We start from the raw sequence: 16886 nt of genomic DNA, 5'->3' as shown, positions 1-16886 counted from the left end.
CCAGTTCTTCCTCCTTGAACAAGTTAGGTCACCTCTCCATGCTACTATTATTACATATACAGACAGCATCATATTACAGTTTCCTCATCTGTAACATGATAATAGCAATAACAGTAGTAGCATCTACCTCATTAGGTTCTTCTGAGGATTAAATTAATAAATGTAATTACAAATATTGACACAGAACAAGCAGTCATCAAATGACTTTTATCTCTAGTTAACTGAGTTCTTCAAAGATTTAAACATTTAGGCTTTATAACTTACCAGGAACTATCCTAATAATCCCTACAATGCACCAAAAGAAAAAAAAAAAAAGAAAAAAGCTTACATGCTTTTTAAAGTTTTAAAGTTAAAACTTCTGATTTTTTATGGCATAATTTATTAAACCAAAAGTATTAAATATACACATCCAACTAACATTCCACTTTTTGTTGCTTTTGTAAACCCATTCTCATCCCTCTTAGTCATTCTCCTTACAGTGATAAACATCCAACTTATATATAATTTCATAGAATTATATAACAATGACCTCATAGTTTATCAGAATCATAATTCACTCTGCAAGGACAACCATGAAATATGGAAGGAATAGTTTCATAAACCTGACAAGCTTTCTTCTATGATCTTTTGCCAGAAAAAAAAAAGATACTGTTACATACAGACAGCATAAGACTCCGACACCAACAACTCCTTATCAAGTGGTGACAGTTTACCTATCAACGCTTCCTTTCCCACTTTTCTGAAACCTAGCCCTCTATGACAAGCCAGCTACTTGTTTCTGGGATAAGCCAGAGTTGCTCCCACTACACATCATCTTTGCTCAAGCCATGCACCTGGGGTTTCTTCCAACCAATCCACATGGCACCTGATGGCTTAGATCTGCTCAGCCCTTGGTACCTCCAGCTCCTCCCTGAAACCTCCCCTCAGGCCCAATCACTGTGATCCTTACTAATACCTCTTAAACATATATTTTCTATACCTGCACTATCTAACATGGTAGCCACTAAACACATTGGCTATGGAATGCTTGACATGCCACTGGTCCTGGTGAACATACGTCAGGATTTTGAAGAGCTGGTAAGAAAAGAGGAACGTAAATTATCTCAATAGGCTGTTATATAGATCACATGTTTTGGCAATGTTTTTGGCAAATGTTTTTGGTAATGTTTTTGGCAATGTTTTTGGCAATGTTTTGGCAATGTTTTTGGTAAATTATCTCAATACGCTGTTATATAGATCACATGTTTTGGCAATGTTTTTGGCAAATGGCAATGTTTTGGGGTGTACTGGTTAAATAACATTTATTTTATCCATTTCATTTTACCTTTTATAGTGTGGCTCCTAGAAAATTAAAAATTACACAGGTGGCTTGCATTATGTTCTATCCGACAGCAAGCACTGATATAACTTGTATTTTGACAACTGTATTAGGCAAACTGAGTCCTCAGCACTACTTTCTGAATAGTATTACTACAATAAAGCGGGAAAAAAAAACAGGCCAGATGCAGTGGCTCACGGCTGTAATCCCAGCATTTTGGGAAGCTGAGGCGGGCAGATCACTTGAGCCTAGGAGTTCGAGACCAGCCTGGGCAACATGGTGAAATCCTGTCTATACCAAAAACTACCCAGGTGTACTGGTGCATGCCTGCAGTTCCAGCTTCTTGGGAGGCTGAGGTGGGAGAATCACCTGAGCCTAGGGAGGTAGAGGCTGCAGTGAGCCATGATCATACCTCTTCACTCCAGCCTGGGCAAGGGGATGACACACTGTCTCAAAAAAAAAAAAAAAAAAAAAAAAAACAGGAAGAAAGAAAAAAATTAAGAAGCAAGTTGTTTAATAAGCAAAAACATCAATGGAGTATGATCAAAAGTACTTAAAAGGTTAGAGCTATGCTTTCTCTATAATTCCTAGACCCATCAAAGATGTTACAAGGCAGCTTCTTGCAACAGCAATGCTGTTACTTATAATTTCTGGAAAAAATCCATTATCTTGAAAAGATAATAACATCCCAAAACCTAGCCAGGCTACAAGTACATGGGTAATACATATCACAGTTCAACAGAGTAAACATGTGATGAGAACGAATGACTGCAAAGTACCTAAAATGATTAAAAATAAATAAACTGAACTGAGACCATTTGAAAGAACTGAAACAGATGAAGGATAGCTTCATAGCTCATAACCTAGCTTTAGTCAAATCAAAATAAAGTCAAGTAAGTTTGTACTGAGTTCCTACACGCAATACCACAGAAAGGACAGGAACAAATGGAACTGAAGAATTACACAGAAATACAAGAAGAGCACATCTAAACGTCTGTTACTAAGGGACTAGATCAAATGCAGTACAATGGAATACTATCCACCAACTAAGATAAATGAACCAGATTAATGTCAATATGAAGAGACCTCAAAAAATACAGTAAGACTAAGGTAAGTTGCAGAATGATATGTGAAGGATGACAGTATTCGGATGAACTTTAATAACACAAAACTGTTTATGCAGCTATACAGAGAGTAAAGGAATTAAAAACATGGATTGGAAGGACACCACCAAATTTTCAATAGTGATTTGCTCCAGGTTAAAGGGAGGACTCTGAGACTAAAGAAGGAAAAGAGTTCTTTACACGGTTTCACTGTTCCTATGTCAGACATATACACATAGACAGGAAAAAAGAATATGAGAAAAAGAGATTATAAAAAGACCAGTGGGCACCTGGCTACTGTAAAATAACGTCTCTGAACAAACTGACTATACACATCTGGAGTCACTCTGTTCTCACAGCCCCACATGACAACCCAATGCCATATTCTTGCCTGTTACTGCAAGTTACAATTTATAGACTCTACACTTCTCCATGGCAATATGATCTGTCAAAAAGGCAGGCATTTGCTCAGAGTCAGAGAAAACATTTTTCCTCAAAAGCACACTGCCCATTCAAAAAACGCCAGAAACACCTATTCCATCCAGCTCCCCAGTAAGTATCAACTTTAAAGCAACCATGTAACATTTGATCCAGCTCTTACCCAGAGCCTTAAGTGTATATCCCTGCAGCTGTTAAAAAAAAAGAAAAAATTACATTTGACCCAAGTTCTCAGTCAAAATAAACTACATTATATCACATGGTATTACAAATCCTCCTTTTATTAATTGACCAGTTATGGGCCCGGTGGAATATTTGCTGTGAGAAAATATATTCTCCTTGAATATATCATAAGATTGATAAAATAAACATTCCAAATAAAGATTTTTATGTGCTTCTCACTTTTATGAGTTTCCATCTATTGTGTGAGTTTCCACAGACCTTTGGAACCCAAATTAGGGAAGACTAAGACCTAAACCAAAAACAAAATTAGAGGAAATTTATTGCAGAAAAGAAAAAAACAAAGTTTTTTTCGTTTTTTTGGTTTTTTTTGGTGGTGGTAGTGGTGGTTGTTAAAGAGACGTGGTCTCACTGTATTGCCCAGTCTGGAGTGCAGTAGCTATGCAGAGGAGCGATCATCATATGATACAGCCTGGAACTCCTGAGCTCAAGTGATTTTCAGTCTCCCAAGTAATTGAGACTACAGGTGCATGCCACCAAGCCCAGCAACAAATTTCTTCTTAATCCTTAAAATTACTCAAGGAAGTTTATTAATGTTTAAAAATATGAAGGTTTTTAGTGAGATAAGCTCAATTCACAAATTATATTTGTTTTTCTTGAATACTTGGAGCCATTCTAACACAATGCTTAGGAGCACAAGTTTTAGAACCAGAGTCCCTGGATTACCCCACTAGTTCTTCCACATACCATCTGTGTCAGCCCTGACAAATCACCGCACTTTCAAAGCCTCTTCTGAAAAATGGAAATAATGTGTCCAACACATAATACAGGTGAAATGTTTAACGCAGGGCCTGGCACACAGAAACTATCCAATAAATATTTGTTACTCATACTATTTATAAGAGAGAAGATTTTTTAAAAAACCATTGCATTCTATAATTTAAACTGAAAAGAAAATTTTTAAAGGCTTTTTTAGAATTATATGTTAAAACATATATTTTTATTTCTTTGACATTTACATTTATTTTGTTTATGTATTTTTATTTTTATATATTAGCAATAAACGTTCTTGGTTTACCCATTCATACCCAATTTTTGAAAAATTTCATATAAAAAAAAAAAAACCATGAAGTATTCTGGTAAGTCAACCCTTCCCCCACAGCAGCTGTTGTGTGAAACTGACTCATGAAATGTAGACATAGAAATGAAATATTTGATCATCTGGTCCCATCCACTTGCCAATGTACTAGTAGGATTCTTTCATCTTATAATTTATTTTCAAATACTCCAAATAAATTGCTTATTGGTTTTGTCAGAAATCAACCGAGGTTTAACATACACAAGAAAAATGTTCCTCATTTTGACAAAGCTATAAATCCATTAACTTCTGACGACAACAAAAAGGGAAGAAAGAATAAAGACATTTTCAACATTTTTAATGTTCTGAGTGACATTAGGGTACTTCTTACTTTCAAAGTCAAAAATAAATAAATACCCAAATTAAATCATTTTTTCAATTGTTCTAGATAACATTATTTAAATAAAGATAAAATTGCTATTCCTACAATCTTAGATGTACACAACGTAGAAAAGACATTTGGTCACACACACTCAGAAGGTACAGGGGAATTTGCTTTGTCTTTCATTCTGCACATATGCCCCCAACAACAGTGATACACTGAGATACTTCTCTTATGTTACAGATGGGTGAGGTTTTCTGGATCCCATTTGTTTGTTGAGCCTGTCTCTCCACTTAATATAAATTATTTATAACTGAAGTAAATGTAAAACTGGTTAAAATTATCTTTAATAATGGCCACTAACCACATAAAAATATGTTCAGCCTCACTCAGAATCAAAGAAATGTTATCTAAAGACTGATAAAATTTTTCACTTCTCAGATTGGCAAAAGTGGTAAAGTTTAATGAAAATCCATCGCTGGCATGGACTTTTTATACACTGTTGGTGGAAATATAAACTGGTACAGGCTTCTCAATGAGCCATTTGGCAATATCTACCAAAATGTTAAAAAATATATATAAATATATATATATACACACTTAGTCTCCATAATTCCACTACCAGGGACCTAAGCTATGCATCTACTCACAAAAAGCATCTACAAACACACATACACATACACACAATGATATTCACCACAGCACTATGTGTAAGGGGACATGGAATCCAGAAACAAGCTAAATGTTCATCCTTCGGGACTGCTAAGATAAATAATGAGGTATCCAGGGGAATACTGTGCTGCTGGACAGAATGAGGCTGACCTTTGAATCATCTCGTGGAAATATTTAAAAGGAAAGGCAAGAACTATGTGTATGAAACGACTGCCCAGTCTGGGCATTTGTTTAACTTACAAAATATATCTAAATATCCCGATAGGATTATAAAAATTTTTATTCAAGTATATAAAAAGGAATTAGGAAATTTGGAACAGTGGTATACAGGAGGAAGACTTTCTCTTATGTTGTTTTAGATTGGGTTGCAAAGCGTTTGTATTTTTTATTTTAAAAAAGTACTTTTAGGCCAGGCGCAGCATCTCATGCCTATAATACCAGCACTTTGGGAGGCTGAGGTGGGTGGATCACTTGAACTCAACCCCGTCTCTACTGAAAATACAAAAATTAGCCAGCCGTGGTGGCAGGCGCCTCCAGTCCCAGCTCTTCAGAAGGCCGAGGCAGGAGAATCACTTGAACCAAGGAGGCAGAGGTTGCAGTGAGCTGAGATCGCGCCACTACACTCCAGCCTGGGCGACAGAGTGAGACTCCGTCTCAAAAAAAAAAAATTTTTTTTTTTTTCCAGAAAAAAATTTTTGGCTTACCAAGATTCAACATCATTGCTTATACGATCTTTCATGAAACATTAAATTGGTGTTATCAATGTTAAATTCTGTCCTCCCAGGCCCTATCTGCTAAATAACAGGCTGGTCTTGTTAATTTCATTTCCTATTTCTTTGTCTACTAGAGAGTTGTCACTGAGAACCTTTCCTCATCTTGATCCCCCGGTAATTAGAACAGTCTTCTACATTACCTTGGTTATCCACTTCTCTATTTTCGCAGCCCATGGCAAATCCTGAATTCTCTGATACTTGTAACATTTAAAGCTGTCACATGCAACCTAACATTTGGCAATTACAAAGAGACATCCCAAAAAATATCTTTTAAGAAACAGTAATATCATTGGAATTAATATATACCTTCCAATAACAATTGCTTTTAAAAGAGAAAGGTAAGTTCAGGTTCATTTGCTGTTTATTTGCTTGATTCCCAGGAGGGGAAGAGTAATTTTTTAATATTATACCTCCCATTTTCAAACTTTCTTGAATAAATATATGTAAATGTAAAAACAAATGGCTATACTAAATTACTGAATCTATACTAACCATATTTAACTACACTAAAACTATTTCTACCCAAAATGGAAAATTATCTCCTAATAGTATAAAACGTTGAGAACATCAAGCTAAACATGATAATGAATGAATCTGAGAAAATACCTCTGTCAACTTTCAAAACTTTATTCTGCAACATGCTATCTTGGTCAAGACAATTTATCACTCATAGCAGTAATGAAAAAGACCATTTAGCACTCCATTAAATCTAACATTCTTGAAAAGGTACTCATAATGGTGAAATGGTATAACTCAAATTCTAAGCATGAGCCTCCATTTCCCTTTCAAAATGTATCTCTTAGCACACAATTCCTGTTTACTGGATGTCTTTCTTCCTGTTCCATGACTCCACCCCTAATAGGACAAAACTAAAAACCTGAAGGAATCTACTTTTAGCACAGACATTCATTGAGGTATTTTCCATTTAATAAACAGGATGCAAAAGTTGTTTATGCTTGACAAAAATCTGTCCTCTTTGTTCACTGTCCACTTACTAACACTGAACAATGGGAAATCTCTTAACAAACCACATTTAACAAAAGATAACTTTAGAATAATTTTGAGCTTAATATCCCCGTAATAATTATATTTCAGGATTTAAAATTACCAAAACAACCTTTAAGGAAAAAAATTTAAAGTGCTACATTTTTTTTTTTAATTTCACCAGTATCACACTCCATGTATTTCAGAACATGCTGTATATATGACAGGTAAAGGAAATATTGCTCAAAATGCCTAAGGTTTTCATTTTTTCATTCTATGCTTTAAATGTGTGTCTTACATTATATAGGATGTCCTTCTCAAAGCCTTAATTATTACAGAAATATGATCTGAAATGAGATTGAAGAAACTGTATAGAAGAGGCTACTGGGGAAGCAACAATCCTTTTAATGGAAACACTTAATGGAGTCTGTCATTTGACTCGTGCATACCAAGTTTCTTTCACCCTTTTCCACACTGCTTCCTCATTGCACTTCCATGCTATTGTATGAATTCTTCACCTATGGGTACTGCTTTCACTGGACTGTGAGTTCCCTGCACTATGCCTTACCAATCTCTGCATCCCAAAGTACTTGGCAACACAGTGCCATACACACACGGTAGGTGTGCTCAAAAATATCTGGCATGTGACCAAGGGCCTCAAGTGTGCAAATGTGCCCTTCCTAGAGCTTTACACCATTATGACTTATGCCATATTCACCCATTCACTGAAAATGTTACCTAGTCAGATGCACCAAGTTGCCTGAGACTCTATTTCATGGAAAATTTACATCATCCTTCTGCTTTACCTATTTCAATTCGTTACTGTCCCCAGAAATTTCCTTCACGTGGTAGTTAAGTTGGGTATCCTTTCAGTGCCTATAAACTATAATTTAGGAGTACATGATTGGTATCCTTGCTCTGTAATTTTTGGTTCAAATGGTGTCAGAGAAGAGTTTTATGCTCCAGTGAGGTAAACAAGTAGACAAAAATATGCTTTAAGATTATTACACATTTCCTAATTCTTTCAATCACCCAAACTCAATATATAATTTCAAAATTATCTTGTCTACATCATTTTTTTAAAAAACATTCCCCAATGTAGAAATCATATTCTTTCACATGGATCTTTGTACTTCCCAAATGAGTCAATTAACCTACCACAAGAGATCATTTCACTTATTTAGTACCATCTATTTACTCAAGCCAAAGAGATATGAACACAGTAGAATTCTCTTAAAATTTGGCCTACATCCTAAGGTCTGAAATTACTCTTACCTCTCCCTACACCTGCTTAAATTTCAAAAGCTGAAAGAGATAAGGCTTTATTCAATGTGGCAGTGAAAACTATTACCAAACCAAATGCATCAGTATTAGTAACTTTAGCTGGATAACTTGGAAACACTAAAATATGAGCTTTATACTTTTCTACTTTCTATCAAAAAGGAAAAATAGTCTATATCAGTGCTTTTAGATGTTTTAGGTATAGATACCCATCTTATATGCATATGTGTGTGTGTTTGTGTGTCTCCATCCATTTCAAATCAGAGCTCCTTTCAGCAACGTAGGGGTGGTATAAAACTGGTACCAATGTAAAATCTCTATGGAGATACCTCTCATCCCAATACTTTCTTAGAGAAAGCTTGTGTCTCAGGCCACATGATGTGGTAAAATTAAACCATATTCATTAACATTATACTAATTAGTAATTCAGTCTGTGCGAAAGTCAATTATACCATGAAAATTAATAATGCAATAAAATCTTATGTGGACACATTTCTCCCACTCAAGAAAAGAATTTAAAAACCCTAGCTAGCACATTAGTTGAAAGCTAATTACAAATCACTAATTTTTTAACTCATTAAATCAATTCAAACAGGATAAAGAAATGTTTTTAAAGAATTACAGTTACTCTTTGTGCTTATAGGTAATTAGTTGCATGTATTTTTAATTTTTAAAACACTCTACCATGTAAGCATTTCAGAAATTTAACCTCCCTTCCCAGTAAGTTTAAATCTTTGCAGGTTTTTTTTTTTTTTTTTGCATTTATTTTTCACAAACTCATTCTCATTTCCTAGAATGATACCTCAGGTATAAATACCTAAAAAGGTGTGTTCTTTATTCTCTCTCACATACAAAAGAAGTGCAAAATAACCCCAGTATTAAAGATGCTACTATGGTTACATGTTATGGATTAAACTGTATTCCCCTAAAATTCATATACTGAAGCCCTAATCTCATGTGATAGTACTTGGAGATGGAGGCCTCTGGGAGGTAATCAAGGTTGGATGAGATCATAAGGGAGGGGCCCTGGTCCAGTTGGACTGGTGTTCTTATACAAGAGGAGAGACACAGAGCACCTGCTCTCCCTCTCCCTCTGCTCCTCCTACATTTCCCCTCCTATGAGCTGAGGAAAGGCTGTGTGAGGACACAGCAGGAAAGCAGTCTGCAGGCCAGGAGTAGGCCTTCACCAGAAAATGATACAGGCCAGAACCTTAATCTTGGACTTCTGGCCTCCAGGACTGTGAGAAAATAAATTTATGTTGTTTAAGCCACCCTGTCTATGGTATTTGGTTATGGCAGCCCAAATGGACTAATACAGTAAACTTCTTAAACCAAGGTAAGTTTCAAAAGAACTTTAAATGTAATCAAATGAATTTATAGGCCCACTGAACAGAGCCAAAATACAGTTACTACCAACCCCCCCACCTTTTCTGTTTACAAATAACCTATGATGATTATAAATTTACCTTCTTACACAGTTTTAGCACTAGCAACCAATGGCCATTAAGGACAGGAAGCCTAGGATCAAGGATGGCACTTTTCACAGTGGTCAGGAATACAGGCTTCAGGGAACAGTAGCCAGTTCAGGTGCAGGCTCTATTTTTTTAATGTCTATACATTTCCAAAAATTATTCCTTAAGGAAGGTTACCAAACTTTCTCATGACTTCATAAAATTATATTATATTCAAGTTCAGTTGAAAGAAAATAATGTATACTTCAAACACCAGAAACTATTATTAGAGTAAAATATATAATTATAGAAAACAGAACTGAAATTTACATTTCAATTCAATTCAACATATTCAACATTAAACACTTCTAGCATGTCAAGCAGTGTGCTAGGCATTCACATTGTTTAGAGAAAATAAAGACATTTACCTATACATAGATGTCAAATATGAGTTAAAAAGCATAGTAGCCTGAAATCCCTACCCAGTGAAGTCCAAACTACAGTACTTACTGGACATCTCCTCTTTGTATTACAAATAAGCATCCCAAACTCTCCTTGTTCTAAAGCTAAACTCCTAATCACTACCACCACCAGCAACACCCACTGTTCACCCTCTTAATCAAACCTGGTCTTCCTGAAGTCCTTTTCTCCAATAATTAACATCCCCAGCCATCCAGAAACTTTCAAGTCATCCTTAAGTCCTCTTTCTTTCACACCCAAATCTAATACGAATAATGACTCTGCTACTAATACAATTAATTTGGAGAACTGTGCCAAGTGAAAAAGTGGCGTTTAATAAAGTAACTTGTATCCATAACATATAATGAAACTCTCACAACTCAAGGAAAAACAACCATATTTTTTAAAATGCTAAATGCAATATCGTACACCTGGACTGGATCCTGGAGAAAAAGAAAACATTAGTGGAAAATCTGGCAAAATCCAAATAAAATCTGCAGTTAATGGTATTGATTCAATATTAATGTCTTACTTTTGACAAATGTACTTAAATTATTAACAGCAGGAGAATCTGAGTGTCAGGTATACATATGGAAACTCTCTGTACTATTTTGGCAATTTTTCTGTAAATCTAAATTTATTTCAAAACAAGGAATTAAGGCCAGGCACAGTGGCTCACGCCTGTAATCCCAGCACTTTGGGAGGCCGAGGCGGGCAGATTACCTGAGGTCGAGAGTTTGAGATCAGCCTAGCCAACATGGTGAAACCCCATCTCTCTAAAAATACAAAAATTGGCCAGGCATAGTGGTGGGCACCTGTAATCCCAGCTACTCAGGAGGCTGAGGCTGGAAAATCGCTTGAACCCGGGAGGCAGAGGTTGCAGTGAGCCGAGATCATGCCATTGCACTCTAGCCTGGGTGAAAAGAGCAAAACTCCGTCTCAAAAAAAGAAAAGAAAGAAATTAAAATGGGGACAAAATATTTGAAAAGATCTTCACCAAAGATATATGGATAGTAAGTAAATATATGAAAGGTTTTCACTGTTAATGATTAAAGGAAATGCAATCTTGTACATGAATGTTTATAACAGCATCATTCATAAGAGCCAAAAGGTAGAAACAATCCAAATGTTCATCAACTGATGAATGAATACACAAAACATAGTATTATCTATATAATGGAATATTACTTGGCCATAAAAAGAAATGAACTGGGCCAGGCGCAATGACTTACGCCTGTAATCCCAGCACTTTGGGAGGCTGAGGTGGGCGGACTGCTTGAGCCCAGAAGTTCGAGACGAGCTTGGGCAACATGGTGAAACACCATCTCTACAAAAAAAATATAAAAATTAGCTGGGCATGGTGGCACACACCTATAGTACCAGCTACTCAGGAGGCTGAAACAGGAGAATCACTTGAGCCTGGAAGATCAAGGCTGCAGTGAGCCATAATCACACCACTGCACTCCAGCCTGGGCAACGGAGTGAGACTCCTGTCTCAAAAACAAAAGGAAAAAAAATTAAAGAAATGAACTGCTGATACATGCTACAACATGGATGAATCTTGAAAACATTATGCTAAATGAAAGAAGCCAGTCCCAAAGACCACATATAAACTATTTACATGAAATGTCCAGAATAGGAAAACACATAGACAGACAGTAAACTGGTAGTTGCTTAGGACAGAAGGGATAGAGGATGAGGGTACAGGAATTTTCTTTTTGAGGTTGATAAAATGTCCTAAAGTTGACTCTGGTGATGGCTGCATATATCTAGGAATTTACTAAAAACCACTGATTATATACTTTAAATGGGTGAATTGTATGGTATGTGAATTATATCTCAATAAAGTTGTTTCTAAATTACAGAATTAAATACCATCACATGCCCATAAGATGACTTACAAAATAAAACTGACACGTGTAAGTGCTGACGAGGATGCAGAACTGAAACTTTTGTACATTGCTGGCAGAAATAAAATACAATATAGCTGCTTTGGGAAGGAGTTTGTTAGTTTTTCAAAAAGTTAAACATACACTTATCATATATCCTAACAATCTCACATTTAAGTATCTATCAAGAAGGGGAAAACATGTGTCCATATTAATATGTGAACATTTATAGCAGCTTCATTCATCACTGCCAAAAACTAGAGGCAACCTAAATATTCATCACTTGGAGAAAGAATAAACAAATTTCAGTACATCCATACAATGAAATACTATTCAGCAATAAAAAGAAGCAAACCATTGATACATACAACACTATGGCTGAATCTCAAAAGCTTGTGCTTAGTGAAAAAAGTCATGCAAAAAAGACTGTACACTATATGACTCCATGTACAGTACAAGACATTCTTAAAAAGGCAAAACTATAAGGATAGAAATCAGATCACTGGTTGCCAGAGACAGGCTAGACGGAGAGGACTGCCTACAAAAAGGCACAAAGGCACAAGGGACCTTTTCTGGGCAATGAAAATGTCTTAATTTTGATTGCAGTTGCAGTGGTGACATGACTGTATACAAATTAAAACTCACAGAATTGCCAGGCGTGGTGGCTCACACCTGTAATCCTGGCACTTTGGGAGGTCCAGGCGGGTGGATCACTTGAGGTCAGGAGTTCAAGACCAGCCTGGCCAACATGGTGAAACCCCATCACTATTAAAAATACAAAAAATTGGCCAGGCGCGGTGGCTCACGCCTGTAATCCCAGGACTTTGGGAGGCCGAGGCGGGCGGATCACAAGGTCAGGAGATCGAGACCATCCTGGCTAACACGGTGAAACCCCGTCTCTACTAAAAATACAAAAAATTAGCTGGGCGTGGTGGCAGGCACCTGTAGTCCCAGCTACTCGGGAGGCTGAGGCAGGAGAATGGCATGAACCCGGGAGGTGGAGCTTGCAGTGAGCCGAGATCATGCCACTGCACTCCAGCATGGGTGACAGAGCCAGACTCCGAAAAATAAATAAATAATATACAAAAAAGTAGCCACGCGTGGTGGCAGGCGCCCGTAATCCCAGCTACTCGGGAGGCTGAGGCAGGAGAACTGCTTGAACCTGGGAGGTGGAGGGTGCAGTGAGCTGAGATCGCACCACTACACTCCAGCCTGGGAACAAGAGCAAAACTCTGAAAAAAAAAAAAAATTCATACAACTTTACACTTAAAAAGGTTAATCTTACCATATATATTACAAGTTTATATTTTAAAAATAAAGGAAAAGAAATGCACTAATACAATGCTAGTAGTCCTGTAAGCCACTTCTACAACAACAAGCAAAATTAGAAATGCAAGCACACTTTGGCCCAGCAGAAATTTTGCAGGTCAGGTATGTGAGGGGTATTCATTGCAGCCCTGTGATATTCTGTAATGGTTAATCACACACACAGGAGCTCTTCATGTACTGATATGGAAAGATCAGTATACATCTTTCCAAACTATACTTTACATTAAATAAATAAAAGGGCAGATATGTATGTAGATATAACTTGAGAAGAAGAAAAATATGTTTTTATGGATCTGTGTATGAATTTTTTTAATTTTTGGGAAGAATAAACAAGCAATGAAAATCACTCACTACCAGAAGGGAACTGGGAGTTAGGCAGGTGTGGGAGAGGAAAGTAAGACTGCACTGTATAACTTTTTATACTTTTTGACATGTGAACTATGCAAAAAAAAAAAAACTAAGTATATAATATTTAAAATATTAATTTAGGTACAAGTTATAAACATTTCTAGAACACTAAAAACATTCCAGAAAGAAAAAACATTATCATATACACTTAAAACGCACATAACTTTCAACTACCAAAAGAAAATGAGCAATCAACGTAAAAGACTGTATTTAACCTTTCTTTCTGACCCACCACCCACAAAAATGAAGAAAATAAGGAGTGTGAGAAATAGACAACAAAGAATGGTTTGGAAGAAAAAGCTATAATTTAGAAAAAGGAGGCATAAATGAGAAAAGTCAGATTTTAAAAAGCCAACAACTTGCCACGCCTTTAAAAACCATCTACCTCTTTCTGTCCTGGAGTACGGTGCTCATCTATCCCTAAAGGAGAGACAGCCCTTTCTATGTCTTGTAAGGACCAAAGAGAAACAAACAAGACTCCTTGCCACAGACACAAGGAGACACTGTCCTCTACAACCAAAGGACTCAAAAACATCATTTAAACACAGATACACACACCCATCACAACCATAGGATCTGGATGGATTATTTTAGAATTTCGGAAGAACTTAAGTCTCCTTGAGAGCCCACATTCCAAAATCTAGCAAAGTAACTCTTTCATTCTGCAGTTGAGACTGTGAAGTACGATCATAAAATGGTGTTAGAGCTAGATAACCTGAAGATAACGTACTTCTGTGCAAGACACAGGCTTATGAATATATCTGAATAAATGTTTCTCAATTCTTGATAAATTCTAGACCAACTAGCCCCTCTCTAAATAGTGTGGTCCAATAACAAAGTTCACCCTCAAGCTAAGACATTATCCTAATGGCAACAGTTAGATAAGCAAAAACACCGGGAATATTTTACTCTCCAACTTGATAGTTTCAAACAATATACCCATTAAAATCTGGACTTTTGTTGCAAGTATCCAGATTTGAATCTGGATCCTCTTGGTAAGGAGACTGTAACTTCCCACACATTTCCTCTGGCTTTTTCAGTTAGCATAGAGAACCAAAGTTCCCACCTATGGCCCTACAAAGAAAGGCTAAGTATTAACAAAGTAATTCTATGTTAAAACTTCTTAAGGAATGGAAATATCGAGTATGCCAAGTCTTTGTTTCTGACAAACAAGGAGATGCCGGGCTGTAGGACTGCTGAGAAAACCCGATAACTTTCCCAAGTACACAACAACGCGAAAGACGTTAATCAAGCCCAAAGTTCTCTAGCCCAAGGTTCCCAAAGCCCAAAGAACTTTAACTGCACTTAGCACTTATATTTCTCTTCAACTAGTAAAAACTCCAAATAGTATAGCTGACTGAACAAAAACAACAACAGCAAAAGCTAAAAAAAAAAAAAAAAAAAAAAAAAAATAGCAATTAATCAGACAAAGATATCAAGATAATACATTTAAGTCTTTAACATAGTATCTGCTGACAAAATCAGCAATCAATCAATCTTAAACGTTATTAAAACCATGCGAGGCTGGGCGCGGTGGCTCATGCCTGTAATCCCAGCACTTTGGGAGGCCAAGATAGGCGGATCACCTGAGGTTGGGAGTTCGAGACCAGCCTGACCAACATGGAGAAACCCTGTCTCTACTAAAAATACACAATTAGCTGGGTGTGGTGGCATATGCCTGTAATCCCAGCTATTCAGGAAGATGAGGCAGCAGAATCGCTTGAACCTAGGAGGCGGAGGTTGCGGTGAGCCGAGATCGTGCCATTGCACTTCAGCCTGGGCAACAAGGGCGAAATTCTGTCTCTCTCTCTCTCTCTCTCTCTCTCTCTCTCTCACACACACACACACAAAACAACACGCGAAACTCTGTATTATTTTCAAATAAACCTGGAGAGTAAAACATGCTATTTAAAAAGGTAAAGTTAAAATAATAATAGCTGGCTGGGTGTGGCTGCGCCTGTAATCCCAGCACTTTGGGCAGATTGCTTGAGCCCGAAAGCTTGAGACCAGCCTGGGCAACATGGTGAAACCCCGTCTCTACAAAAAATACAAAAATTAGCCAGACGTGGTGGTGCCCGCCTATGGTCCCAGCTACTTGGGAGGCTGTGGTGGGAGGACACCTGAGCCTGAGAGGCGGAGGGTGCAGTGAGCCGAGATTGTGCCACTGCACTCCAGCCTAGGCAACAGAGCAACATCCTGTCCCAAAAAATAAAATAAAATAAAACAATAATAGATAACTTTTATTTAGAGTAATTTATTCGCTAAGCCTGGGTCTAAATTAAAAGAAGCCCTTCCAGTCCTACTCTACTAACTCTAATTGTTTAAAAATTTTTAATTTTAATAAAATTAGACTTTAGATCCGAAATTCATCTCTAAAATAAAAATGACCTAGCAGAGAAATTTGAATAAAGAAAAATGTGCATGCCTGTAGTTCTAGCTACTTGGGGGGCTGAGGTGGGAGGATCACTTGAGCTCAAGAATTTAACACTGCAGTGAGCTATAATCACACCACTGCAATTCCACCTAGGTGACAGGGCAAGACCCTGTTGTCAGAGGCATTTGAACCAGAGCCAACTCCATCTTAAATAGGGGCTGGGTAAAATAAGGCTGAGACCTACTGGACTGCATTCCCAGGAGGTTAGACATTCTTGGTCACAGGATGAGATAAGAGGTCACCACAAGATACAGGTCAAAAAGACCCTGCTGATAAGACAAGGTAAAGAAGCAGACAAAACCCACCAAAACCAAGATGACAACAAAAGTGACCTCTGGTAGTGCTCACTGTTCATTATTCATTAATTATAATGCATTAGATTGCTAAAAGACACTCCCACTAGCGCCATGACAGTTTACAAATGCCATGGCAATGTCTGGAAGTTTCCCTGTATGGTCTAAAATAGGGAGGAACACCTCAGTTCTGGGGAAAATCCCCACCCCTTTCCAGGAAAACTCATAAATAATTCACCCCTTGTTTAGTATATAATCAAGAAATAACCATAAAAACAGCCAGCCACCAGTCCTCAGGGCTGCTCTATGGAGTAGCCGTTCTTTTATTCCCATACTTTCTTAATAAACTTGCTTTCACTTTATTCTATGAACTCACCCCAAATTCTTTCTTGCCCAAGATCCAAGAACCCTCTT

At 37.1% G+C, this 16886-nt stretch overlaps 1 protein-coding gene across 2 annotated transcripts in view; it reads right to left on the bottom strand.

Moving 5' to 3' along the window:
- Window positions 1–16886, bottom strand: part of RAPGEF2 (Rap guanine nucleotide exchange factor 2) — a 257095-nt gene that overhangs the window by 213497 nt on the left and 26712 nt on the right. The window lies entirely within an intron of this gene.

The sequence above is a fragment of the Homo sapiens genome, chromosome 4, assembly GCF_000001405.40.
Source record: "Homo sapiens chromosome 4, GRCh38.p14 Primary Assembly".
NCBI lineage: Eukaryota > Metazoa > Chordata > Mammalia > Primates > Hominidae > Homo > Homo sapiens.
This window is presented reverse-complemented; position numbering and strand designations above follow the sequence as displayed.